This window comes from Homo sapiens, chromosome 22, assembly GCF_000001405.40.
Source record: "Homo sapiens chromosome 22, GRCh38.p14 Primary Assembly".
Taxonomy (NCBI): domain Eukaryota; kingdom Metazoa; phylum Chordata; class Mammalia; order Primates; family Hominidae; genus Homo; species Homo sapiens.
In genome coordinates, this window is record NC_000022.11 from 21,579,212 (window position 1) to 21,606,754 (window position 27,543).

Here is a 27,543-nt window from a genome sequence, read left to right on the forward strand (position 1 = left end):
GAACTTCTGACCTCAGGTTATCCACCTGCCTCGGCCTCCCAAAGTGCTGGGATTACAGGCGTGAGCCACCATGCCCAGCCCCAGGTGTAATTAGTTATGATGATAACTAAATGTAAGATAGCTACCATACTGCTGACCTATGGAAGGGATGATGTCTTGGCATGGGTCCTGCCCCCTTAGCTAAATGTTAGTTGAAATGAGAGAATTGCATTAGAAGGCCATGAGGCTTATGTTTAGATTTTCAGTATATTGAATTACATTTAAGTCATGATTTAGTGGCCAGGCACGGTGGCTCATGCCTATAATCCCAGCACTTAGGAAGGCTGAGGCAGGAGGATCACTTGAGCCTAGGAATTTGAGACCAGTCTGCCCAACATAGTGAGACCCTGTCTCTGCAAAAAATAAAATGATTAACTGGGCATATTGGCACATGCCTGTAGTCGCAGCTTCTCAGAAGGCTGAGGTGGGAGGATCACTTGAGCTCTGGAGGTTGAGACTGCAGTGAGCCGTGATCATGCCACTGCACTCCAGCGTCGGCAACAAAGCAAGACCCTGTCTCAGGGGGAAAAAAAAAAGTCATGATTTTAGTGTCATTGCTAACGGTTGTCTTATGCAAGCTTGGAAAGTTTGCATTTCTGTTACAATTATTTACTTTGATAGACCAGTTATACTGGAATTTGGTAGATTTAAGGCAGGTTTATGTAACTTTCCTCAGATGTCCAGCTCCATCTGCCAGGTTTTGTTTTGCCTGAGCAGTAGGAGCCTAGAAATATTCCTTGCACAACACAGGCACATAATGACTAGCTGTGCAGGACTAGGGAAAATACTGAATATGTTCATGTTTTTGTTGATGTAAATATTGGTCAATACTATTCCAGAGCAAGCTAAGCCCTCCTGGGATCCCACAGAGTAAACAGGAAAACCTGCTCTGTCCGTTTCTAATGGGAGCATTAACTCACTGCTTTGGGTGGCTGAGATAGTCAAAAAAGAGCAATTTCAGTGCAGGTTCTAGTCCTGGGCATGCTCTATACAAGTTCTTTGACTTGGACATCTCTGAGCCTTGGCTTTACCATCTGTGAAATGGGGCTAATATGCCCCACTTGCCCATCTCAGGACTATGAATTGTAAACAGTGCAGAATGGCCTTATAATTGACCACTTCCTCTCAAGCCATGGCTACCCCTTTCCCAGCATCTCTTTGTTTTCTGTTCTTGTTGGAATTACTCTTTTCTTTTCTTTCTTCTTTTTATTTTCTTTGAGATAGACTCTCACTCTGTTGCCCAGGCTGGAGTGCAGTGGCGCGATCTCGGCTTACTGCAGCCTCTGCCTCCTGAGTTAAAGCAGTTCTCCTGCCTTAGCCTCCCGAGTAGTTGGGACTACAGGCATGTGCCACCATGCCTGGCTAAGTTTTTTGTATTTTTAGTAGAGACAGGGTTTCACCATGTTGTTCAGGCTGGTCTCGAACTCCTGACCTTGTGATCCCCCCACCTCAGCCTCCCAAAATGCGGGATTACAGGTGTGAGCCATTGTACCGGACTTAATTTTTGTATTTTTAGTAGAGATGGAGTTTCACCATGTTGGCCAGGCTGGCCTCGAACTCCTGACCTCATATGATCTGCCGGCCTCAGCCTCCCAAAGTGCCGGGATTACAGACATGAGCCACCATGCCTGGCCTCTTTTCTTCAAGAGACAAGGTCTTGCTCCGTTGCCCAGGCTGGAGTGCAGTGGCATGATCATAACTCATTATAACTCATTATAACCTCGAATTCCTGGGCTCAAAGGATCGTCCTGCCTCAGCCTCTTGGGTAGCTGGGACTACAGGTGTGTGCCACCATGCCCGGCTAATTTTTTTTTTTTTTTTTGAGATGGAGTCTCACCCTGTTGCCCAGGCTGGAGTGCAGTGGTGCAATCTTGGCTTATTGCAACCTCTGCCTCCCAGGTTCAAACAATTCTCCCACCTCAGCCCCCCAAGTAGCTGAAGACTATAGGTGAACACTACCATGCACAGCTAATTTTTGCATTTTTTGGTAGAGATGGGGTTTTGCCATGTTTTCCAGGCTAGTCTGAAACCCCTGGGCTCAAGCAGTCCACCTGCCTTGGCTTCCCAAAGTGCTGGGATTTGAGCCACCATGCCTGGCCATTTTGTTATCCTTATTATTTGTAGAGATGGGATCTTGCTATGTTGCCTAGGCTGGTCTTGAACTCCTGGCCTCAAGCGATCCTCCTACCTTGACTTCCCAAAATGCTGGGATTATAGGTGTGAGCCACTGTGCTGGCCGGTGTTCACTTAAAGGAAAAAAAAACCTTCAGGCTGGGCACGGTGGCTCACACTTGTAATCCCAGCACTTTGGGAGGCCTAGATGGGCAGATCACCTGAGGTCGGGAGTTCGAGACCAGCCTGACCAACATGAATAAACCCCTGACTCTACTGAAAATACAAAATTAGCCGGGCATGGTGGCGGGCGCCTGTAATCCCAGCTGCTCGGGAGTCTGAGGCAGGAGAATCACTTGAACCTGGGAGGCGGGGGTTGTGGTGAGCCAAGATCACAACATTGCACTCCAACCTGGGCAACAATAGTGTAACTGTCTCAAAAAAAAAAGAAAAAAAAATTCAGAACAAGCTGTGCCCAGTAGCTCATGCCTATAATCCCACCACTTTGGGAGGCTGAGGCAGGTGGATCACCTGAGGTCAGGAGTTCCAGACCAGCCTGGCCAACATGGCAAAACCCCATGTCTACTGAAAAAAAAAAACAAAAATAATTAGCCAGGCATGGTGGCACCTGCCTGTAGTCCCAGCTACTCAGGAGGCTGAGGCAGGAGAATCGCTTGAACCTGGGAGGCGGAGGTTGCAGCGAGCCAAGATCGCACCACTGCACTCCAGTCTGGGTGACAGAGTGAGACTTCATCTCAAAAAAAAAAACAAAAAAACAAACAAAAAAAAAAACAGTTCAGAACAACGTCTGGGTTTCGGTGCTTATAGACTTGTAGTCAGAGGGATTTTTTCCATGTGCTTAGCTCAGTGGGAGGTTTTAGTCCTTTTAGGAGCTTGTTTCTAGCTGTAGAAATGACACTGCATTCATCAAGGCTCCAGTTTTTTCCTTGCCAAGAAACTGGGTGGTATGAATGTGGTGGGTTTTTTTTTGTTGTTGTTTTTTTTTTTTGCGATGGAGTCTCGCTCTGTCACCCAGGCTGGAGTGCAGTGGTGCAATCTCGGTCTACTGCAACCTCTGCCTCCCAGGTTCAGGCTGTTCTCCTACCTCAGCCTCCCAAGTAGCTGGGATTACAGGCATGCATCATGACTCCTGGCTAATTTTTGTAGTTTTTTGTTTTTTGAGCCGGAGTTTCACTATTGTTGCCCAGCCTGGAGTGCAATGGCGCGATCTCGGCTCACTGCAACCTCTGCCTCATGGGTTCAAGTAATTCTCCTGCCTCAGCCACCCGAGTAGCTGGGATTACAGGCGCTTGCCACCACGCCCAGTTAATTTTTGTATTTTTAGTAGAGACGAGGTTTCACCATGTTGGCCAGGCTGCTGTTGAACTCCTGACCTCAGGTTCCACCTGCCTCAGCCTCCCAAAGTGCTGGGATTACAGGCGTGAGCCACCGTGCCCGGCCCTCAATATGGTGATTCTTAAGCAGAGCAGGGGTTGCACATCACAGTCATCTGGGAGCACTCCCCTCAGAAAGGTACCCATCTTGTACTGGAGGCTGATGCAATAAGCAGGTCCTAGATGGCGCCTAGGCACAGTCAGCTCTCCTTCCTTCTCCCCTGTACCCATCTAAGCCCTTCCCCTGCCTCTCTGCATAGGGGTATTAAACAGCCCCCAGGGGCTTGGCCATGCACCCTGGCTGAAAGTTCTGGCCCTGATCATGAGTGCCCTGAGTTGGTAAACACTGCAGCTAAACTGGTTTCCTTTCTGCTTCCCTAACGCCCCCACTGATTTCTGCCCTCCATGTCTCTGCATACACATTTCCCACACATGGACACCTGTTCTCTAGCAGTTCTGTCTTCCCCCGTCTTTCAAGGCCCATCTCAGAGCCTGTCTTCCACAAAGCTGTTCCCTCCACTGGTGTCTGCTAGACTTTCCTCACTGTGACCTAAAGGTTCCTAGAGCAGCGTTTCTCAGTTCTTTTAACCCACCCTCAACAGCCAAGAAAAGTGGCCTTAAGCTTTACTTTCCTTTAGGGATACTACAGGCCTTTTGCCATTTAACAGATATAAAATGACACAGTGGTATGGAATATGCTTGTTTACATTGTACCAGTGTCCTTGCATTGAGACTTGCTGCCCATAGTACTGCTGTGACATCTGAAGCATCCCTGACTGGCCCCACTGGTTATTCTTCTGCACGTCTGTTCACCTGCTCCTGGCACTGACTTCAGAGGAGACTCAAGAGGGTGTATAGTACAGTCTTGCCCAGTGCAGGTGGCTTCTTTCTGACAGCCCTGGCCACTGGCAGCCCTGTCTGCCCCACCCATTTGAGTATCTATAATGACATGACGACTGCTGCCCCGAGTCAGGGGGGCTTAGACCACGTGAAGGTAGCATTAAAGAGTTTGGCACTGAGTCAAAAGCTGCCTGGGATAGTGAACACTTACTGGCCCCAATTCTTTCTTCTTTACTCATATAGAAGGTTGAATCCTTTGCAGGTGAACTTTTTAAATTTTAATTTTTTTTTTCTTCTGAGGTGGAGTTTCACTCGTTGCCCAGGCCGGAGTTCAATGGAGCGATCTTGGCTCACTGCAACCTCCTGCCTCCTGGGTTCAAGCGATTCTCCTGCCTCAGCCTCCTGAGTAGCTGGGATTACAGGCGTGTGCCACCATGCTGGGCTAATTTTGTATTTTTAGTAGAGACGGGGTTTCTCCATGTTGGTCAGGCTGGTCTCGAACTCCCGACCTCAGGTGATCCGCCCGCCTTGGCCTCCCAAAGTGCTGGGATTACAGGCATGAGCCACCGTGTCTGGCCTAAATTTTTTTTTTTTTTTTTGAGACAGAGTCTCGCTCTGTCACCCAGGCTGGAGTGCAGTGGGGTGATCTCAGCTCACTGCAACCTCCACCTCCCGGGTTCAAGCGATTCTTCTGCCTTAGCCTCCCGAGTAGCTGGGACTACAGGTGTCACCACCACGCCTGGCTAATTTTTGTATTTTTAGTAGAGATGGGGTTTCACCATATTGGCCAGGCTGGTGTTGAACTCCTGACCTTGTGTTCTGCCTGCCTTGGCCTCCCAAAGTGCTGGAATTACAGGCGTGAGCCACCACACCCGGCCTCGGCCTAAATTTTAAATTTTAAGTTTTATTTTATTTTTATTTTTTTGAGACAAGGTCTCACTCTGTCACCCAGACTGGAGTGCAGTGGCATGATCATGGGCTCAGGCAATCCTTCCGCTTCATTTTTTAATTTTTTTGTAGAGATGAGGTCTTACTGTGTGGCCCAGGCTGGTCTCCAACTCCTGGCCTCAAGTGATTTTCCCGCTTCGGCAACCCAAAGTGCTGGGATTACAGGAGCACTTTGGGAGGCCGAGGCGGGTGGATCCCTTGAGGTTAGGAGTTGGAGACCAGCCTGGCCAACATGGCAAAACCCCATCTCTACTAAAAATACAAAAATGAGCTGGGCATGGTGGTGCGTGCCTGTAGCCCCAGCTACTCAGGAGGCTGAGGCATAAGAAGCACTTGAGCCTGGGAGGCGGAGGTTGGAGTGAGCTGAGATCACGCCTCCACACTCCAGCCTGGAGAGCGAGACTCCGTCTCAAAACAAACAAACAAAAAACAACAAAATGTGGAATTACTGGCATAAGCCACTTCGTCCAACCAGCAGGTGAACTTTTTAACGTTTGAAGACAGATGTATGTCATCTTCACATTTCTTTAGGCCATAGGTTCCTGGACCTTTTGATTGTTCCTGGTAGGACATGGTCCTTGCTGTTCTTGTCCTGAGCAGCCCTTATTTGATGTGGTCTTCTAAAGTATGGTGTCCAGAACTGGACACAGCATTTGGCTCTGAATAGTTCAGGGTGGCCTGGACGCTAAACATGGCACAAACGATTGGTCAGCTAAACCAGTCAGTTTTTCATGCTGCTGCTAAGGTTCATGCCTTGTGCTTGGTGAAAAATTAAGTGTTTGGAACCAAGTCCAGGTCTTTACTGGATCTCTAAAATATTTCATTCTGTGACTTGGGGTGTGGTTTTGCTATCCAGGATCCTTAGAGGTTTGGTCTTTAAGCCTGTATTCGTTCCTTCCCTGATATGTGGTACCTAACTACATCTCTCTCAGCCCACTTCCCACCAGGGTGACTTCAGGCCACCAGTTCTAAAGCCATTCGATTCTCCTCAGCTCTTCTTGATCCAGCCTCTGTTTATCCATTTTGTACAGAAACATTGTAGTGGCTGTTGAGAGAAAGGAGCATCCCTTTTAGCCAGGGCTTGGGGAGCTCCTTAGAGGAACAGGCATTTGAGAGAGGCTTTCAATGATGAGCATGTTGGGGATGTGGGGCTGGTGATAGGCAGGACAGTTAGGGACATCCTTCCAGAAGACATCCTGGGGAAAGACATAGAGGGGGGAAGTCACCAGGCTGACTTGGTAGGATTCTGCACACTGCTCATTTGGGTTGCACCAAGAGCTTTAGTTGGAATTACTGGGTTGCACCAAAGAGTTTTAGCTGGAAATATTGGATGGGAGGATTCCTACATATTTTGTTGGGGGAAGGGTCGTCTAGTGCTGTTGGATTTCTTTTCTAGTTTTTCTTTTTTTGAGACAGGGTCTTGCTCTGTTGACCAGGCTGGAGTGTAGTGGCACCATCATGGCTCACTGCAGCCTCAACCTTTTGGACTCAACTGGTCATCCCAAGTCAGCCTCCTGAGTAGCTGGGACCACAGGCATACATCAACACACCTGGCTAATTTTTTAATTTTTTTATTTTTGTAGAGATAGGGTCTTGCTGTATTGCCCAGGCTGGTCTTGAGTTCCTGTGCTTAAGTGATCCTCCTGCCTTGACCACCCAGTGTTGGGATTACGGGTGTGAGCCACCGCCCCTGGCTCCTGGCCTAGATTTATTTTATTTATTTTATTTTGTTGAGACGGAGTCTCACTCTGGGAGTCTGCACCCAGGCTGGAGTGCACTGGCGTGATCTCAGCTCACTGCAACCTCCACTTCCCAGGTTCAAGCGATTCTCCTGCCTCAGCCTCCCGAGTAGCTGAGACTATATATAGGTGCACGCCACCATGCCCAGCTAATTTTTGTATTTTTAGTAGAGATGAGGTTTCACCTTGTTGGCCGGGCTGGTTCTCAAACTCCTGACCTCAAGTGATCCGCCCACCTCGGCCTCCCAAAGTGCTGGGATTACAGGCTTGAGCCACTGCACCCAGCCTTTTTTTTTTTTTTTTAAACGGAGTCTTGCTCTGTCACCCAGGCTCAAGTGCAGTGGTGTGATTGCAGCTTACCACAACCTCCACCTCCCGGATTCCAGTGATTCTCCAACCTCACCCTCCCAAGTAGCTGGGAATACAGGAGTCAACCACCATGCCCGGCTAATTTTTGTATTTTTAGTAGAGACAGTGTTTTACCATGTCGGCCAGGCTGCTCTCAAACTCCTGTCCTCAAGTGATCCACCCGCCTCAGCCTCCCAGAGTGTTGAAGCGTTGGAATTACAGGTGTGAGCCACTGTGCCCGGCCTTTTTTTTTTTTTTTTTTTTTTAAGATAGGTTCTCGCTCTGTCGCCCAGGCTGGAGTTGGAGTACAATGGTGTGATCTTGGCTCACGGCAACCTCTGTCTCACTTGTTCAAGCAATTCTCATGCCTCAGCCTCCCGAGTAGCTGGAACTACAGGCATGCACCCCTATGCCTGGCTAATTTTTGTATTTTTAGTAGAGATGGGGTTTCACCATGTCAGCCAGGCTGGTCTCAAACTCCTGGCCTCAAGTGATCCACCTGCTTTGGCCTCCCAAAATGCTGGGATTACAGGCATGAACCACCACGCCTGGCGCTGGCATAGATTCCTTTTTTTTTTGAGACGAAGTCTTGCTCTGTCACCAGGCTGGAGTGCAGTGGCGCGATCTCGGCTCACTGCAACCTCCGACTCCCTGGTTCAAGCTATTCTCCTGCCTCAGCCTCCCGAGTAGCCGGGACTACAGGCAGGCGCCACCATGTCCACCTAATTTTTGTATTTTTAGTAGAGACGGGGTTTCACCATGTGGTCTCGATCTCCTGACCTCGTGATCCACCCGCCTTGGCCTCCCAAAGTGCTGGGATTACAGGTGTGAGCCACCGCGCCTCGCCTAGATTTCTTGATTAGTGGCTCCTGAGGGGTTCTGAAACCTGGCCTTGTGTGAGGGTTACCTGGGGAGATTTTGAACAGTTTTCTAGGCCTCATTGTAGACCCCAAAAAGAAGCAAAAGAGGAACTTTGTTAACTGCTTTGCCAAGACGCAGGTGTGTACATCTGAGCTGTGTGACTGAGCACTGGCTATATACAGCAGTGTCCTGTTCTCCCATCTCCTCTCAGGACTTGAGTCCGTGGCCTTCTGCTGGGGCCCAGGGCCCATCTCTCCTGTTAGTGCTTGCAAAGCTGTTAAGTAACCATCCCTCTCTGCCATGCTTCACACTTTGCCCTGGAGTGGGCATCAAGCTCTCTGGGGTTGAGTTTGGGGCATGGGTGTTTTCCATTTTCAGGAGCTGGGTGGCACCCCTGGGCTTTTTCAGTTCCCCTCTATACACTGAAGTCTACTTGGGCTCCGAAGTGGACCTCATTCTGAGAAGCATTGCTCTCTTTCTCCTGCACCACCTGCCCTGGTTGGGAAGCCTGCTGTCCCCATCAAGAGAAGGAATGTGTGAGCTGCCTGGTGCTTTCCCTTGAACTCTCTCTTTGTCAGCACTGCACCATCAGCCCTGAGCAGCTGACTTGGGTTGCTTCTTGCTCTGAGCAGAACTGAAACAAACCTTTGTGGGAGTGTTATTTGTAAGCATCTGTCATTCTTGGCTTTGGTCTTCCTAACTCTGTTCTAGAGCTGGGCTGCTCTTGCGGTTTTTATCAGGTCCTTTCTTCTGTCATTTGTAACATCCTTTTGAATTCCACTTCTTGGAATTTACATTGGTTTCCTTCAATTCCTTCCCTAATTCTTCACTGTCAGGACCATTCTCAGTTATCGGGGCACAGTTTTGCTTGAGGGTTTACAACCATCTTGAGGGTTTGAGTCATCTGGCCTTTTGAGTCTCAGATATTCAGATGGAACTGATCTCTGAATGATTCCAATTTTTCTTCTTTCTTTTTTTTTTTTTTTTTTTTTTGAGATAGGGTCTCACTCTAGTTGCCCTGGCTGGAGTGCAGTGGTTGTAATCTTGACTCACTGCACAGCCTTGACTGCCAGGGCTCAGGTGATTCTTCCGCTTTCACCTCTCAGCCTCCCAAGTAGCTGGGACCACAGGCATGTACCACCATGCCTGGCTACTTTTTTTTATTTTTTATTTTTATTTATTTATTTTTGAGACAGAGTCTTGCTCTGTCACTCAGGCTGGAGTGCAGTGGCGCAATCTTGGCTCACTACAACCTCCGCCTCCTGGGTTCAAGCAGTTCTCTGCCTCAGCCTCCCAAGTAGCTGGGATTATAGGTGCCTGCCACCACGCCCGGCTAATTTTTTGTATTTTTAGTAGAGACGGGGTTTCACCATCTTGGCCAGGCTGGTCTTGAACTCCTGACCTCGTGATCTACCTGCCTTGGCCTCTTAAAGTGTTGGGATTACAGGCGTGAGCCACTGCACCCGGGCTGTATTTTTTTTAGTGGAGACAGTGTTTTGCCATGTTGGCCAGGCTGGTCTTGAATTCCTGGGCTCAAGCAGTCTGCCTGCCTTGGCCTCCCAAAATGCTGGGATTACAGGTGTGAACCACTGCGCCTGGCCTGAATTTATCTTCTTGAAGTTGTTTTCCTCAGTGGAGGCATGATTGGAATTTTTTTTTTTTTTTTTTTTTGAGACGGAGTCTCGCTCTGTCACCCAGGCTGGAGTGCAGTGGCGCAATCTTGGCTGACTGCAAGCTCTGCCTCCTGGGTTCACGCCTTTCTCCTGCCTCAGCCTCCCGAGTAGCTGGGACTACAGGCGCCCGCCACCATGCCCGGCTAATTTTTTTTGTATTTTTAATAGAGACGGGGTTTCACCATGTTAGCCAGGATGGTCTTGATCTCCTGACCTCGTGATCCGCCCACCTCGGCCTCCCGAAATGCTGGGATTACAGGCGTGAACCACTGCGCCCGGCATGATTGGCATTTTGGGCTAAATAGTTTCTGTCCACAGGACCGTCTTGTGCAGTGCAGGTCTTTTAGCATCCTGGCCACTCATAGTGCCCGTGGTTCTCAGTAGAAGCTGTAGAGGATGTTGGGAAATTGGGGTGGGTTGGTCACAGTGCCTGGCATCTGTCTCAGGGTAAGGGCTTGGGAGGCTCAAGTGCAGAGTCGTATCTGGATGCCAGCAACACCCTGTTGAGAAACTTTCTACTATGGTATGCTCATCATTCTCTGAAGATGTCAGGGCCTGTTTGTTTGTTTGCCTGTTTCTCTCACTTTTGCCTTATAATCAGTTCTTCCTTGTTGGTTAGAATCATGTAAAGGAGGTTGCCTTTTCTGTCTTTGGAGAGCTTAACTTGACGGCAAGGTAAGTTGGGAGTTTATGTGATAACCCTACTTAGGATTCTCTGAGCTTCCCAACCCTGCTGTCATTAGCATCCTCAGGGTTGCCCATTCTTCTTTCTGGCCAGGTGTGTGGCTCACTCCCATGGCAGTATTTCTTTTATCTTTGTCTGTGGATCCCCTGGATCTCCTTGATACCAAAGCACCAGTAAGTGTCCTTTCTGCACCCCTGCCCTTAGTGCTCCTCACTGACTGCTTCCTCTCCTTTTTCTTGAGCAAGATACAGTTTTTCACTCTCATGTTACAGTTGAGTTCCATCTTGCCATATTTTTATAATTCTTGTGAAATTTACCTTGTGTTTATCATCCCTACTTTATTTTTTTATTTTTTTATTTTTTCGAGACAGAGTTTCGCTCTTTTCGCCCAAGCTGGAGTGCAGTGGTGCGATCTTAGTTCACTGCAACCTCTGCCTCCCGGGTTCGAGCGATTCTCCTGCCTCAGCCTCCCGAGTAGCTGGGATTACAAGCGCCCACCACCACACCCGGCTGATTTTTGTGTTTTTAGTAGAGATGGGGTTTCGCCATGTTGGCCAGGCTTGTCTCGAACTCCTGACCTCAGGTGATCCACCCACCTTGGCTTCCCAAAGTGTTGGGATTACAGGCGTGAGCCAACGCACTCAGCCATCACCCATACTTTATACTGTTGGAGTGTGGATTTCTGAAACCATAAAGTATATTTACAGATGATTTTAAAATTTGTTTTGTCCCATAAATGTTAGATATCTTCACTGTTGTTTCTTCTTTTTTTAGTTGTCTAGTTTCAAAGTTCTGTGTGGCATATTTTTTTCCTATCTGTATTTGGTTTAAAACATTTTGTTTGCTAGGACTCCAGCCTTAAGGGACGTGCATGGTATACCCTGTCCTTAGCCAAGAATCTTACTCTAGTATCTTGAGCCAAGGTCAAAAAAGCCAAACACAGCATTGGAACTGTATTTATAGAAAATCCTTCCCACCCCAGATTCCTTTTTCCTCCCAAAGCCCCAGCTTCCCATCCACCCACCAACCTGGTCATTAAGCACATGTTTGAGCACCACTGTGAGCCAGGCGCTGGCAGGACCAGGGCTTCCTGATCCCTGCCCTTGTTGAGCTTACATTCTATTTGGAGAGTGGAAGGAGGTGGCAGTGTGGGTGTGAGATCTCTTCCCCTTTCTGAGTCTGCCCAGGCTTCATAATCCCCAGGGGAGCATTTCTTATGAGTCTTGTGAGCAGGAGGACCAGGTGGCAGTTGGCAGGTTGGAGTGGTCCCTCAGGTTCCGTACCTCCTTATGCAGGGAAAGAGGGGCCTCATGCAGGTGGAGAGGGGCCAGGCCACCCCATTCCTCACTGCAGGAGGTTGCAGCCCATGCCGCTAACGCCTCCTCAGGGAGAAATGGATCCATCATCGCTCCCAGCAGTGCCTCTTCTCTCACCACAGCTATAGCCTGTGAGAAATCCCTATGTTCAGGCTCCACCCACACTTGCTGGACCAGAATTTCTGGGGCTGGGCCCAAGTCCAGGTGATTGTGGTGGGCAGATGAGGGTGACAGGCAGGAGCACCCTGTGGGGGGAAACTTGTGCCTGTTGCCTGCTATGAAGCACCAGTGTGTTCCACCTCTTCCGTGTATTCATTCACTGCACTCTCCCTCTCTGCTGCTCTGGGCCGGGCGCCCAGCACATCTTCCTACTCAGAACCAGTAACCTGGGCTCCGGTTCCCCCTTCCTTGCCAATTGTTTCCTTCCCTGCCTGTGTAGCCTCAGGGTGCCTTTTAAACTACCACTGTGTGATGGAAGTATGAGGTGCAAGGATCTTTTGGGCTTGATGTGGGGGCTGATAGGGAGCCCCCAAGCCACTGTGAGTTGAAGTACCACGTAAGGAGGTTCTGGAGGGTGCTGGAGCTGGGCCAGAGGAAGCAGCCTGGCGAAGGAGGCAGGGCTCAGCTGGATGGTGCTCGGGCTGCAGAAGAGAAGGTGCCTGACAGGTGTGGAGGCGGCTTTTGTGCCACTGGATGGGAGGCCGGGCTGAGGCGGGTAGAGTGGCACTTCATGTGTCAGAGTGGAGGAATGTTGGCGAGGCTGGTGTTCTGGCAGGAGGGCATTGCTGGGTGGTTTGGGTTATAGCGCCTGCCAGGCATTCACTGAGATGTTGGAGGCAATGGGAAATGTCAGGCTGGTGCACAGTTGAAAAACAGGTGACAGACAGTTCTGAAGACATCTCAGGCAGGACCCTGAAGTCGTAAAGTTGTGCTTTCTGGGTGAAATGGCACTTGCTGCATTGACTGTTTATACAACAATAACCCCACATATTTGCAAGGGGTCCTGTTGCCCACAACATGGCTTCCCTTTCCTTTTCTGCACTCTGGGTCTGTTTTGCAGCTGAGGAAACAGGCTCAGTGAAGGTTTCCCGTCCCCACCCCCCCACTCCCACCCCAGTCCCAGACTGGATGGTTCTCTTTGCTGTGTGCCCATGTTGAGGTGGAGTCCTTCTGAAATCACACTTATAGCACTGGGTAGAAAACTGGATATGCGTTTGTGTCTGGTTTGTTCCCAGTCCCCAGTTTTATTCATCTTTAGCTTCTCAGCATCCGGTGCATAATCAGTGCTTAATGAATCTTGATTGGAAGGTATCAGGTGTAGAGCACCTCAGGATAGCTCCTGCCACATGTCTGCCCTATGCAGGGTGCTGAGGGATTTAAACAGCCATGGTGACCAACCCAAAGAGGAGGTGGTACGTCTGCAGAAGCATGGTTCCCCCTGTCCTATTCAGGGGGGTTCACTGAGGTGGGGGCTTGTCTTGGTCTGGGGCATGGGGAGAGGCAACAACCTTGCAGAGGGGACCGCCATGGCAGCTCCATGCCTCCTTAACCACTCCAAGCACAGTTTAGTCCTCACTGTCCAATTTTGTCATTAGCATTTTTGGCACTTGGTTTAATTTGAGGGCATCAGGAGGGATCTTAATATGTGGTGCTTTCCCCTATTTGACACCCCTTTATGCTTTGTCAATCAACAGGAGCTTGAAGAAATCCGCAAATGTGGGATGAAAAACTTCCGTAACATCCAGGTTGATGAAGCTAATTTATTGACTTGGCAAGGGCTTATTGTTCCTGTGAGTATTGAACACTTCCACTTCCTACCAGATTATTCTTTAAGGTGATGTGTGTGCTGTTGGGCTTGTTTTTCTGCTCCTTAGTAGGCTCTTAGTCTAGGCAGCCAGCAGATGCACAGAAGTGGCTGTCGCTCTAGGGTGATAAGGTAGGGAGTGTAGCCTTGGGTCCTGAGTAGAGTCACATCTTGGCACTCGTTTTGTCAAATTCAGGGAGTCCTGAGCTTTGCAGATCTGTAGACACAGAGAAAAGGAGTGTGTCTGTGCTCCTGCTCTTTCCTGACTTCCCTGCGCCTGGCCTGATGGATCAGCAGGACCTTCTTCTCTGAGCTCCTCAGGAGGGGACAAGCATTCCCCTCTAGATATTTTGCTTTCTCTCTTGGTTTTGCATTCATGTCTCTAACCCTTTGGATACCTGTATTTCGGGCTTTATTCCTGGTCCCCTCCAACCTGTGCCTTCCATTTGTCTCAAGTCCCTTTTCCTAATTGCCCACATGTTCCCCTCACCCCATGTCTTTTCTGGGGCTTATGCCTCCAGTGTCTGCCCCCACAGCCCAGCTCCCCCATCTCACAGTCTTCTGCCTTCTGATGGGCTCAAGGCCCTCCTAACGATGGCTTTCCTTAGCACCCTCTTAGTGCCTACTCTTTTCTGCATCCTTTGATCCCCTCCCCTTCAAGAGGCTTGTCTTATAATTAACTCCAGTTTGCAATCCCCCTTCCTCTCACTCTCCTGAAACCACGTCACACCCAGCCCACAGGCTGCCCCCACTGTTGTCACACCTCTAGCTCGGCAGTGCTGGCATCATGGCCCTTGCTTGCCTCCTGAGCTTTTGGAGCACGGGCAGCATTCCAGCCCCCAGTCCTGTGACCAGCCTGCCACTCGCTCCTGTTCTGCCACTCCTTCCTCCTCACTCTTAAACATGACTCTTGTTGGTCTCCTGCTGTTCTCCTGTTCTGTTTTGTCTCGGGACCCTACTACTTTCGGCATCATAGATGATTATGCCAGACATGAAGGATTCCCACACCTGTCTCCATTCCTGCCTTCTCCCCGGAAGCTGCACCATCTGTCCACCAGGCGGCCTCACTTGGTCATTGTGTAGCCTTCAGCTACCTCAGCTCACACCCTTGTCCTGCGTGAGTGCCCTCCTTTCCTGTTCTTCCTCATCCACTCACCTTCTCTGTTCCTTTTCATTCCCACTTTGCACATCTGAGCCTCTGGCCCTTGCCCTGTGCCTGCCGCTGTCCTGTATATAATTTGTTCTCATGGATGGATTGGCTGCTTTGCCAAAGCAGAGCATGGAGCATGCTTCCTCCTGTAGATGCTTCTTCCTGATGCTGGTTATAAGGTCATGAGCATGGAGCATGCTTCCTCCTGTAGATGCTTCCTCCTGTAGATGATTTCTCCCTGTAGATGCTTTCTTCCTGATGCTGGTTATAAGGTGAGCATGGAGCATGCTTCCTCCTGTAGATGCTTTCTTCTTGATGCTGGTTATAAGGTGAGCATGGAGCATGCTCCCTCCTGTAGATGCTTTCTTCTTGATGCTGGTTATAAGGTCATGCTTTTTTTTTTTTAAGTCCCTGAATTTGATCAGCAGTTATTGGATTTGTAGTTTATTTCCATAATCATTTGGATAACTAAGGAAAGATATGCTTTGTAATGATTTAGTATGCTCAGAATGTTTAAATCTGGGAGCTTCCAGTCTGATTTTGAAGATGAGTCCTTTAGATTTCTTTAGGCTTGATGGTGTTAGGGCTCAGGGCAAAGGGTGTGGGTGGCAGAGACACCTCTGCATGGGAGGGGTTGGCCTGTGAGTGCAGCCCTTGCCTACTCTAGGGACCTGAAGATGGCCGGGACCATCTGACCTCTTGTCCCTTTTCTAATTGAGATTGTGTAGTCTACTGAGCAAAGAAATGAACAGTTAATCTGTGGCTCTTTGGAAAATGATAAAAATGAATGGAATGGTTTTAAGTGGTAAGGCTTGGGCAGTCTGGCCCTGAGAATTTAGTGGCCTGAGAGCCTGCTAGCCAGCTCCACGGGTAGATTGCTGCTGGGCATGCTCTGCCCCAACTCATGCAAAGGCCTCCCTCTGGTTTCACGCTGGCAGGGGCTATGGAGCAGTGGGCTAAGATCTTACTAGGGCAAAGGTGGAGGCTGGCTGGTAGAATCCAAGTGTGCTTGGGCTGAGGCTCTGGGGAGCTATCCAGGCCAAAGTTTCACCTTGGAGACGGTAAGCAACAGCCAGGGCTGCTCTTGTCCCTGTGTATACCACTTCTTCTCGGTCCTCTCCCTTGCTTTCTTCCAGGGCCCCTGGGTTTGTATGAGGAATGTTTCAATGAAGTCTTCTTCCTTCTCCAGAGCAGTTAAGGCATTGTTGACATCTGACATCCCCAGGGTCCACACTTGTACCCCAACCTGGGCTTTAGGTCTTCCTGCATTGGACGGGCTGGGCCAGCATGGGAATCTACTATACAAACTCACCTGAGGTCTGCCCAGTTGGGGTAAAAGTAGAGCCAGGCCGATGAAGGCATGGCAGCCCAGCCCTGGTCCTTAGTGGAGAGTGGTGCTGTCCTTGGGTAGCCACCTAGCGATTGCCCTGGTCGTAGTGCACAGAGGAGGGCAGGTGGGAGGGAAGGCTGGGGAGGTACTTCCTAGAGACTTCATTGTTGCCAACGCAACTCTGGTCTATTCCCTTTAAACATTTGTTTTTCTGTAATTTTTTTTCATCTAAGATGCTAAGGTAACGTCTAAGGAAGAAAATATTACCCATAATCACATCATCAAGAAATTCAGTTACATTTTGTGTACTGCCCTTTAGGAACTAGAGGTGTGGTAGTCACCCTTCTTGAAGCTTCTAGCCCAGTGAATGTGTTTACTCTTAACCTTCAGCATACTTCCTCTCAGCCTTTTTTCATGCAGTTTCTTTTTTTTCTTTTTAATTGAGTTGGAGTCTCGCTCTGTCGCTATGCAGTGGCACGATCTCGGCTCACTGCAACCTCCGCCTCCCGGGTTCAAGCGATTCTCCTGCCTCAGCCTCCCAAGTAGCTGGGACTACAGGTGCGCACCACCACACCCCGCTAATTTTTGTATTTTTAGTAAAGACGGGGTTTCACCATGTTGGCCAGGATGGTCTCAGTCTCTTGACCTTGTGATCCACCCTCCTCAGTCTCCCAAAGTGCTGGGATTACAAGCGTGAGCCACCACGCTGGCCTTCATGCAGTTTTTAATAAACCATTTCATAACTTCATAATAATGTTTTGGTTTTTTGAGGCAGGGTTTTGTGCTGTCACCCAGGCTAGGGTGCAGTGGTGTGATCATGGCCCATTGCAGCCTTGAATTTCTGGGCTCAAGCAATCCTCCTGAGTAGCCAGGACTACAGGTGTGTGCCACCACACCCAGCCAATTTCTTTTTATTTTATTCCATTTTATTTTATTTTTTGAGACAGTCTTACTCTGTCACCCAGGCTGGAGTGCAATGGTGTGATTTTGGTTCACTGCAACCTCAGCCTCCTGGGTTCAAGTGATGCTTATACATCAGCCTCCCGAGTAGCTGGGATTGCAGGTGTGCACCACCATGCCCAGCTAATTTTTGTTCTTGTTTTTGAGACAGAGCCTTGCTCTGTTGCCCAGGCTGGGGAGTGCAGTTATGCGATCTCGGCTCTCTGCAACCTCCATCTCCCGGGTTCAAGCAATTTTGGCTAATTTTTGTACTTTTAGTAGAGACTGGGTTTCTCCATGTTGGTCAGGCTGGTCTCGAACTCCCGACCTCAGGTGATCCACCCATCTCAGCCTCTCAAAGTGCTGGGATTATAGGCATAAGCCATTGCGCCCATCCTGTAACGTCTTAAATTTCCACTACAAAGGTTCCAGTTCATCCACATCCTTGCTAACATTTGTTATTTTACTTTTTTTTTGTTTTTACGTTACAGCCATTCTAGTTGGTATGTAGTGCTGTCTCATTGTGGTTTTGATTTCTGTTTTCTTCATACTAAGGATGTAGAACATGTTTTTGCATGGTGTGTTTTTTGTTTTTTTGTTTCTTTTTGAGACAGGGTCTCACTCTGTTGCCCAGGCCAGAATGCAGAAGCACAGTCTCGTCTCACTGCAACCTCTGCCTCCCGGGTTCAAGTGATTCTCCCACCTCAGCCTCCCGAGTAGCTGGGACTATAGGCGTGCACCACCACACCTGGCTAATTTTTGTATTTTTTGGTAGAGACAGGGTTTTACCATGTTGGCCAGGCTGGTCTCGAACTCCTGACCTCAAGTGATCTGTCCGCCTCAGCCTACCAAAGTGCTGGGATTACAGGCTTGAGCCACCGTGCCTGGCCTGATGCACTAAAGTTTTAAATTTTTTAATTTAATTTTTATTTTTAGAGAAGGGGTCTTGCTCTGTCATCCAGGCTGGAGTGCAGTGGCTCAATAATGGCTCTCTGCAGCCCCAGACTCCTGGGCTCAAGCAGTCTTCCCAAGTAGCTGGCACTATAGGCACATGCTGCAACCCCCAGCTAATTTTAATTATTTTTTCTGTAGAGATGGAGTCTTGCTGTGTTGCCCAGGCTAGTCTTGAACTCCCAGGCTCAAGTGGTCCTCCTGGCTTAGCCTCTGAAAGCTCTGGGATTTACAGATGTGAGCCATCACACCTGGCCTTAAATTTTTAATAAAGAAGTCCAATTTATCTATTTTTAATTTTGTTGCCTATACTTTGGTTTGATTTTTAAGACACTGTTGCCAAATCCAAGGTCATGCAAATTTTCCTGAGTTTTCTTCTAAGAGTTTTATAGTTTTAGCTCTTAAATTTGGATCTTTGATCCATTTATATGTAGATTTTTTTTTTTTTTTTTTTTTTTTTTTTTTTTGAGACAGGCTCTCGTTCTGTTGCCCAGGCTGGAGTACAGTGGCATGATCATGGCTCACCACAGCCTCAACCTCCCAGGCTCAAGCGATCCTCCCACCTCAGCCTCCAGAGTAGCTGGTACTGAAGGCATGAGCCACCACGCCCAGCTAATTTTTGTATTTTTTTTTTTTTTTTTGTAGAGATGGGGTTTTGCCATATTGCACAGGCTGGTCTTGAACTCCTAGACTCAAGTGATCCGCCTGCCTTAGCCTCCCAAAGTGCTGGGATTACACCACTATGCCCTGCCTCATTTCTTATTTTAATAATATGAGTCTTTTCTCTTTTTCCTTTTATCAGTCTAGCTAAAGTTTTTTCAATTTTGTTGATCTCTTCAAGGAAGGTTTCATTAATGTGTGTGTGTGTGTTTTTCATTTATCTCCTCTGTGCTTACTATTTACTTCTTTCTTGTGTTATTACTTTCTTTGTTCCTTAAAATATCCAGTTAGATTATTGATTTCAGACTTGCTTTTTCAATGTAGGTATTTAAAGCTGTAGATTCCCTTTGAGCACTACTTTTGCTGCATAACTTAAGTTTTGGTATGTCATTTTTTTTTCTGAGGATATTTTCTAATTTCCCTTGTGATTTCTTCTTTGACCCATTGCTTGTTAGAGAGTACGTTTAATTTCCCCATAATTGTGAGTTTTCTAGTTCTGTTATTGATTTCTAGTTCCCTTTCCTTCTCCCTTTCCCTTTCCTTTTTTTTTTTTTTTTTTAAATAAATAGAGATGGGGGCTGGGTGCAGTGGCTCACACCTATATTCCCAGCATGTTGGGAGGCTGGGGTGGAAGGATCGATTGAGCCTAGGAGTTCAAAACCAGCTTGGGCAATATAGCAGGACCCCGTCTCTATTTTATTAAAATAATAATAATAATAAATGGGTTCTCCCTGTGTTGCCCAGGCTGGTCTCAAACTCCTGGGCTCAAGCGATCCTCCTGCCTCAGCCTCCCAAAGTGCTGGAATTACAAGCATGAGCCACCATGCCCCCACCCGCCTAGTTCCATTTCTTTTTTTTTTGAGACAGAGTCACTCTGTCTCCCAGGCTGGAGTGCAGTGGTGTGATCTCAGCTCACTACAGCCTCTACCTCCTGGGTTCAAGCAATCTTTTGCCTCAGCCTCCCTGGCAGCTGGGGCTACAGGCATACACCACCACGCTCGGCTAATTCTTTTGTATTTTTAGTAGACACAGGGTTTCGCCATGTTGGCCAGGCTGGTCTTGAACTCCTGGCCTCTTTCACCTTTTTGCAGTTACATTTGTAGTTAGACCTCTCACCTTCTTTCTGCAAGCTTATTTGCACAGCAGTTGCTCCTAAAATCCACGCCCTCCGGATGCCTCATTCCTCCTTTCTGCATTGCCCCTCTGGCCTTTGATGGGAGCTGCATCCTGCCTCCCTGGGCTCAGCACTTGCCTGTAATTGTCAGTTCTTTTCTGCTTCCTGCTAATTGTGCCACTCTGCCTTCTCTCTCCCCTACTTCCGTCTCCTGTAGCTGTAATGGTTGAGACCAATGAGGGCAGCCCTGTTTTCTGAGGGCACACTGGAGTTGTTTTGGGGAGAAAGAGTATCCCCCTACATTGATGGGGCTGTTGAGCTCCTATCACAGCCAGACACAAGGTTCTATGGACAGAGGCCACAGAGAAGCCACCCTCCTGGAATCCATGGTCTCTTAAGCACTGAGTGTGGCTCCACCTGCAAGGCACTTAAGACCAAACAGAAGCAGGGCAGCGGTGGGTGGGAGGGTGACAATATCTGGACTGCATAGTGGAAGGCAGTGTGAGCAGAAACTATGAAAAAATATAGGCAGTGTGAGGACATATGTGTAGTTTGCATAGATGTACAGAAATTAAGGCCTTTGAGAGCACCATGTATGCACAGAGAACGTTCTTGGGCTGTGCAGCAGAGGCCTGACGGCATCCTGGGGAATGGGGTGTCTGGTGGGATTTTTTGTTTGTTTTGTTTTTTTCACTTCTATTTTTGGTGTGAGTGCTGTATTTTTTCCATTCTTGGGAGAAAAGTGAATTATGTATGAGAAGTACTCATGGCTATTTGAGCCCAAAAGGAAGGAATGGTCTTTGTCAAATTCGGTTAATGGAGATTGTGATTTTAATTGTAGATACAATTCAGAAGGTAGTTTATGAACATTATGAAATGAAAGATTGGAAAACCAGTTCTAAAATACTTATTCCTGGCCGGGCGCGGTGGCTCATGCCAGTAATCCCAGCACTTTGGGAGGCCGAGGCAAGTGGATCACCTGAGGTCAGGAGTTTGAGACCAGCCTGTCCAATGTGGCAAAACCCCGTCTCTACTAAAAATACAAAAAATTAGCCGGGCCTGGTGGTGGGCGCCTGTAATCCCAGCAATTTGGGAGGCTCAGCCAGGAGAATCGCTTGAACCGGGGAGGTGGAGGTTGCGGTGAGCTGAGATCGTGCCATTGTGTTCCAGCCTGGGCAACAAGAGCAAAACTCCATCTAAAAAAACAAAACAAAACAAAACAAACAAAAAAACTTATTCCTACTATTTACTTCCAAAGGGAATACGATTGAACTCTTTAGTGTTGAAGTATTTGTTGCCGGCCGGGTGCAGTGGCTCATGCCTGTAATCCCAGCACTTTGGGAGGCCAGGGGAGGCGGATCACTTGAGGTCGGGAGTTCAAGACCAGCCTGGCCAACATGGCAAAACCCCATCTCTACTAAAAATATAAAAATTAGCCGGGCGTGGTGGCAGGCATCTGTAATCTCAGATACTAGAGAGGCTGAGGCAGGAGAATTACTTGAACCCAGGAGGCGGAGGCCGCAGTGAGCCAAGATCGCGCCACTGCACTCCAGCCTGGGCGACAGAGTGAGACTCCATCTCAAAAAAAAGGAAATATTTGTTGCCAAAGAACTGTATTATGAAAAATCCCCAAAACCAAGTTGTTGAAAACAGTACAAAGAAGTCATCTTCAGAAACCAATATTAGAACAAGATGAATCTCATGTGGCAGATTTTTTGATTCAAATAACCAAAAAGCCTGTTTTCAGAAGAGACAATAAATACTTAAAGGCAAGGAGGGACGTGGTGGCTGACACCTGTAATCCCAGCACTTTGTGGGGCTGAGGAGGGTGGATCACCTGAGGCCAGGATTTTGCGACCAGCCTGGCCAACATGATGAAACCCTATCTCTACTAAAAATACAAAAAATTAGCTGGGTGTGGCGGCAGGTGCCTGTAGTCCCAGCTACTTGGGAGGCAGAGGCAGGAGAATTGCTTGAACCCAGGAGGTGGAGGTTGCAGTGAGCTGAGATCGCGTCATTGCACTCCAGCCTCGGTGACAGAGCGAGACTCTTTCAAAGAAAAATCAATCAATCAATCAATCATACTTAAAGGCAATTTACAAAGTTAAGTTCTTGTGACTTTCGAACATGGAGTAAGGACATATTCCATGTTCAGAAGTCACAAGAACTTAACCTCCTAAACTTAACTCTTTTGGGTTTTTTTGTTTTTTTGTTTTTGAGACAGAGTCTCTCTCGTCCCCCAGGCTGGAGTGCAGTGGTGTGATCTCAGCTCACTGCAACCTCTGTTTCATGGGTTCAAGTGATTCTCCTGCCTCAGCCTCCTAAGTAGCTGGGATTACAGGCGTGTACCACTACGCCTGGCTAATTTTTTTGTATTTTTAGTAGAGATGGGATTTCACCATGTTGGTCAGGCTGGTCTTGAACTCCTGACTTCAAGTGATCCACTCACCTCAGCATCCCAAAGTGCTGGGATTATAGGTATGAGCCACTGTGCCTGGCCTAACTCAGCTCTTGACAAGGTTCCAGAGTGGATCACGAAGGCTTGAGAGCATAGAAACCAGCCTGGGGCAGGGCCAGGCACGGTGGCTCACTCACGCCTGTAATCCCAGCACTTTGGGAGGCTGAGGCAGGCGGGTCACGAGGTCAGGAGATCGAGACCATCCTGGCTAACACGGTGAAACCCTGTCTCTACTAAAAATACAAAAAAATTAGCCGGGCGTGGTGGTGGGCGCCTGTAGTCCCAGCTACTCTGGAGGTTGAGGCAGGAGAATGGCGTGAACCCGGGAGGCGGAGCTTGCAGTGAGCCGAGATTGCGCCACTGAACTCCAGCCTCAGCGACAGAGACTCCATCTCAAAAAAAAAAAAAAAAAAGACAAACCAGCCTGGGGCACTCCGAGCAGGGCAAGCCGCGTCCCCTTGTTCTCTCTTAACAGGGGACTGGACTGTGTAGGGATAGGCAGCCCACAGGGCTGGTCTCAGTAGACATCCCTGTGGCAGGGAAAGCTTCAGCTTTGTTAGTTCACTGGGTGAAAAAGGTTAGCCACAGGGAAAGGATGCTGCTGTGGAGTCGCCACCAAGCTAGGCAGAAGTGACAACAGTGCACAGGACCCTTCAGTCCATCTGAAGCCTGGCATGAAGAAGGAGCAGCATGCTAGTTAGATCCAAACTAGGATCCAGCTCTTCAGGTCAGCCATGAGTCCTGTCTGTGGTGTCCTACAGCCAGCTAGGAACACACCACAAGGACGTGCCATGTAGCAGCAGTCCAAGTCAGACAACCAGAAGACACCTTGACTTCCTCTGTGGCTGCCAGAGAGCTGTATGGTGGTCTTCCCTGCTTCACAGCAGTGACATGAAACGGTGACTTCTGTGGGATGAAGGACTCTGGGTCTTTACTTGGGAAGGGAAAACATGAAGTGGAATGGGGTTTTAGGATTCTTGAAAGGTTGCCATGGGAAAGGAAGATTAGATTTGACCACAGGGTTAGAGCTAGGACAAGTGGGTGAAAGACCCCAGATAGTTCGGTGCCATATGGCAAAGAGCTTCCTCTTAGTCTTAGCTGCCACAAAATGGCTTTGTGCCATGGGAGGTTGATATCAAGAGCTGTGAAGGATCTGAGATTTTTACCCTACTTGCAGCCTGAAAAGGTGTCCTGCCAATTTATTGGATGTTGGTGGAAGACTCGAGAAAAGGGCCAGTTCCCCTCGTCCCCGCATCCCACAAAGGTGATGAGGATGGGCCCAGATGGATACCTGCAGATGTGGGGGGTTGTGTTCCGGGACAGGAAGGCTGAGTTTAGGGGAGGTCTCAGGCCAGTCACTCAATCGTACTTCACTTGCTCCATTTCCAAATGCAAGTGATGGCAGCACTGGCTTCCCAGGGTTGGTGTTAGGGGACCAGGAGGGGCGGAATATGGGCTGGAGATGGCACGGAAAAGCACCTGGCATCTAAGTACTTGAGAAACTTTGGTCAAATTTTTTTAAATTGGCTTTCCCAGGTTGAAATGATCAACTCTTATTTACATGCATGCATTATAATGACTAGAAGCAAATACAGGAAAATGTTAGCCATACTATATATAAAAGAAAATCCACTTTAAAACCGGTATCTTTCTTTCTTTATAAATAGCAAGTGGGCCGGGTGCGGTGGCTCACACCTGTAATCCCAGCACTTTGGAAGGCCGAGGCAGGCGGATCACCTGAGGTCAGGAGTTCGAGACCAGCCTGGCCAACATGGTGAAACCTTGTCTCTAGTAAAAATACAAAAAAATTAGCTGAGAGTTGTGGTGCATGCCTGTAGTCCCAGCTACTTGGGAGGGTGAGGCAGGAGAATCGCTTGAACTCAGGAGGTGGAGGCTGCAGTGAACCGAGATCGTGCCATTGCACTCCTGCCTGGGTGACAGAGCGAGACTCTGTCTTAAAAAAAAAAAAAAAAAAAAAAAAGACAAGTGGGCTGGTCGCCGTGGCTCACGCCTGTAATCCCAGCACTTTGGGAGGCTGAGGCGGGCGGATCATGAGGTCAGGAGATCGAAACCATCCTGGTTAACACGGTGAAACCCCGTCTCTACTAAAAACACAAAAAATTAGCCGGGTGTGGTGGTGGGTGCCTGTAGTCCTAGCTACTCGGGAGGCTGAGGCAGGAGAATGATATGAGAGGCAGAGCTTGCAGTGAGCCGAGATTGCGCCACTGCACTCCAGCCTGGGCGACAGAGCCAGACTCTGTCTCAAAAAAAAAAAGACAAGTGGATAAAAAGTCTGTCCTAGAATTTAGACATGGATTGAAAAGGTGTTTTTTGATTTTTTTTTTTTTTTTTTTTTTCTGAGACAGGGTCTCACTCTTGCCGAGGCTGGAATGCAGTGGTGTAATCATAGCTCACTGCAGCCTCAAACTCCTGGGCTTAAGCAATCCTCCCACCTCGGCCTTCCAAAGTGCTGGAGTTTAAGTTTTTGAACTAGTTTAGAGTGTGTAAAATTATCATAAGGAATTAATTTACATCTCAAATGACTTCCTCAATACAGCAGTATGAGCTTAGGGAGCACAAGACAGTCAAAGGCAGGCATAACAGAAAAACACTAGTCGTGTTCATGTGAAGATAATGCTGAAATCAGCTGGGCGTAGTGGCTCACGCCTGTAATCCTAGCACTTTGGGAGGCTGACTTGGGTGGATTTTTGAGCTCAGGAGTTCAAGACCATCCTGGGCAACACGGTGAAACCCCGTCTCTACTAAAATACAAAAAATTAGCCGGACGTGGCAGCCTGCGCCTGTAATCCCAGCTACTTGGGAGGCTGAGAGACAGGACAATCGTTTGAACCCGGGAGGCGGAGGTTGCAGTGCTGAGATCCCACCATTACACTCCAGCCTGGGCAAGCGTGAGACTCTATCTCTAAATAAATAGATAATGCTAAAATCTTTGGTTTATTTGACATTGAAATGTTGCAGCTTAAGTTGGAGGCAAATTTTCTGCAATGTTTTATAATATATATATTTTTTACAACAAAACCATGTTTTTTCATTAACATCCCTTGTTATTTCTGAGTGGCCTTCCCAAAGGGCAAGTTTAGCTCTAATGTTGAAATTCACTTGTAGAGCTGTAGGCCTTTACCCGGAAGGTATATCTTATGTTTTAATTTTTGCATGCCTCTTTCACCAAAAATCTCTGGGACAGGCACATAGTTTGTGTGACTTATGCACACCTGAGCCACTCCTTTGACCATCCACAGATCCCCAGACTAGGAAAGAGGCCCAGAGAAGTTCAGATGAGTTTGGCCAAGTTCCCTGGGTGGTGAGAGGCCTGGCCTGCCTCATGTAGTAACAGAACTGCTTCTTTTTTTTCCTTCCTCTTTTTGGAAGAAAAAAGAGGCAGGATCTCACTGTCTTGTCCAGGCTGGAAGGCAGTGGCGTGATCATGGCTCACTACAGCCTTAACAACTAACAACTTAAAACTATAGCCTCAAGCAGTCCTCCTACCTCAGCCTCCTGAGTGGCTGGGACTACAGGTGTGCACCAGCAGCACGCACAGCTAATTTAAAAAAATTGTTAGCAACAAAGTGAGATCCTGTCTTTACAAAAGGACTTGTTTTTGTTTTGTTTTGTTTTTTTGAGAGAACACCTTGCTCTATCGCCTAGGCAGGAGTGCAGTGGTGCAGTCTTGGCTCACTGCAGCGGTGTGATCTTGGCTCACTGCAGCCGGTGCCTCCTGGGTTCAACCAGTTCTCATGCCTCAGCCTCCTGAGTAGATGTGATTACAGGTGCGTGCCACCACGCCCAGCTAATTTTTTGTATTTTTAGTAGAGACAGAGTTTCACCGTGTTAGCCAGGATGGTCTCGATCTCCTGATCTCGTGATCCACCTGCCTCGGCCTTTTTTTAGTATAGATAGGGTTTCTTTTTTTTCTTTTTCTTTTTCTTTTTGAGATGGATTTTCACTTTTGTTGCCCAGGCTGGAGTGCAATGGCACAATCTCAGCTCACCACAACCTCTGTCTCCCAGGTTCAAGTGATTCTCCTGCCTCAGCCTCCCAAGTAGCTGGGATTACAGGCATGTGCCACCACGCCTGGCTAATTTTTGTATTTTTAGTAGAAACGGGGTTTCACCATGTTGGCCAGGCTTGTCTCAAACTCCTGGCCTCAAGTGATCTGCACATTTCAGCCTCCCAAAGTGTTGGGATTACAGGCATGAGCCACTGCGCCCAGTCTGTTTTTGGCTTTTTTGAGACAGGTTCTCATTCTGTCACCCAGGCTAGAGTGTAGAGGTGTGATCATGGCTCACTGCAGCCTCAGCCTCCTGGGCTCTTGTGATCCTCCTGCCTTAGCCTCCCAAAGTGTTGGGATTACGGGCATGAGCCACTGCACCCAGCCAAATCTGCTTCTCTTGAGCTTTGCCCATGTGTCAGGCATGTAGGACTTTATAGTCCTTATCTCTCATCATAAACTCTGGGTACAGGCTGTTGCTACTCCCATTTTACAGATGTACAGGAACATTCTCAGACTCTTTAAGCTAGGAAGAGGCAAAGTCTGAGGCTAGACCTGCTAACTTGGGGCCAGATGGCCTCATTCATGCTTCACCCCAGCTCCTCGGACAGGACCTGGCCCACAGTGGGGAACAGGGGAGGTTGGTCAGTCCTGGACAATCAGTGAAGACCTTTAGCAGATTTCACCAACCAAAAGTCATGCAGGAAAGTGTGCGCGCGCGCGTGTGTGTGGTATGTGTGTGTGTGTGTGGTGTGTGTGTGTGTGTCTTACTCTGTTGCCCAGGCTGGAGTGCAGTGGCACAATCTTGGCTCACTGCAACCTCTGCCTCCCAGGTTCAAGTGATTCTCCTGGCTCAGCCTCCCAGTGTGCCACCACACCCAGTGAGGGAAAGCTATTTTTACATGGCTCAAGCAGTGTAAATGACAATGATGTTTACTTACTTCCCCCCACCACCACCACCATTTAATTCTCCTCTTGAAAACTAAAAGCTGGCTGGGTATGGTGCATCACTCCTATAATCCCAGCACTCCAGCACTTTGGGAGGATCACTTGAACTCAGGAGTTTGAGGCCAGCCTGGACAACATAGTGAGACGCCATCACTATAAGAAATAAAAAAATAGCTGAGTGTGGTGGCATATGCCTGTAGTCCCAGCTACTTGGGAGGCTGAGGT

At 48.4% G+C, this 27,543-nt stretch overlaps 1 protein-coding gene across 5 annotated transcripts in view, besides 3 other annotated features; it reads left to right on the top strand.

Moving 5' to 3' along the window:
- Positions 1-27,543, top strand: part of UBE2L3 (ubiquitin conjugating enzyme E2 L3) — a 74,588-nt gene that overhangs the window by 29,765 nt on the left and 17,280 nt on the right. For 4 of the 5 annotated variants that reach the window (NR_046082.2, NR_028436.3, NM_001256355.1 and 1 more), the window contains exon 2: positions 13,650-13,745. The exons of the other annotated variant lie outside the window; for it this stretch is intronic. Coding sequence is in view for 2 of the 4 variants with exons in the window: in NM_001256355.1 (NP_001243284.1) it covers positions 13,650-13,745 (96 nt within the window). In the remaining 2 variants the exon portion in view is untranslated. The remainder of the gene's footprint in view (positions 1-13,649; positions 13,746-27,543) is intronic. 5 annotated transcript variants of the gene reach the window in all.
- Positions 8,946-9,005: a silencer, noted in NCBI's record as "silent region_13509". NCBI's record gives its function as "represses an Ori minimal core promoter by ATAC-STARR-seq in GM12878 lymphoblastoid cells {active_cell/tissue: GM12878}" and the evidence as "EXISTENCE:reporter gene assay evidence [ECO:0000049][PMID:35858748]".
- Positions 11,523-12,336: an enhancer, noted in NCBI's record as "H3K27ac-H3K4me1 hESC enhancer chr22:21945023-21945836 (GRCh37/hg19 assembly coordinates)". NCBI's record gives its function as "activates a minimal SCP1, AML or CMV promoter by ChIP-STARR-seq in primed H9 embryonic stem cells {active_cell/tissue: H9 hESC(primed)}" and the evidence as "EXISTENCE:reporter gene assay evidence [ECO:0000049][PMID:30033119]".
- Positions 19,868-20,802: an enhancer, noted in NCBI's record as "VISTA enhancer hs2026". NCBI's record gives its function as "enhancer in: tail[9/17]" and the evidence as "EXISTENCE:transgenic organism evidence [ECO:0001131][PMID:17130149]".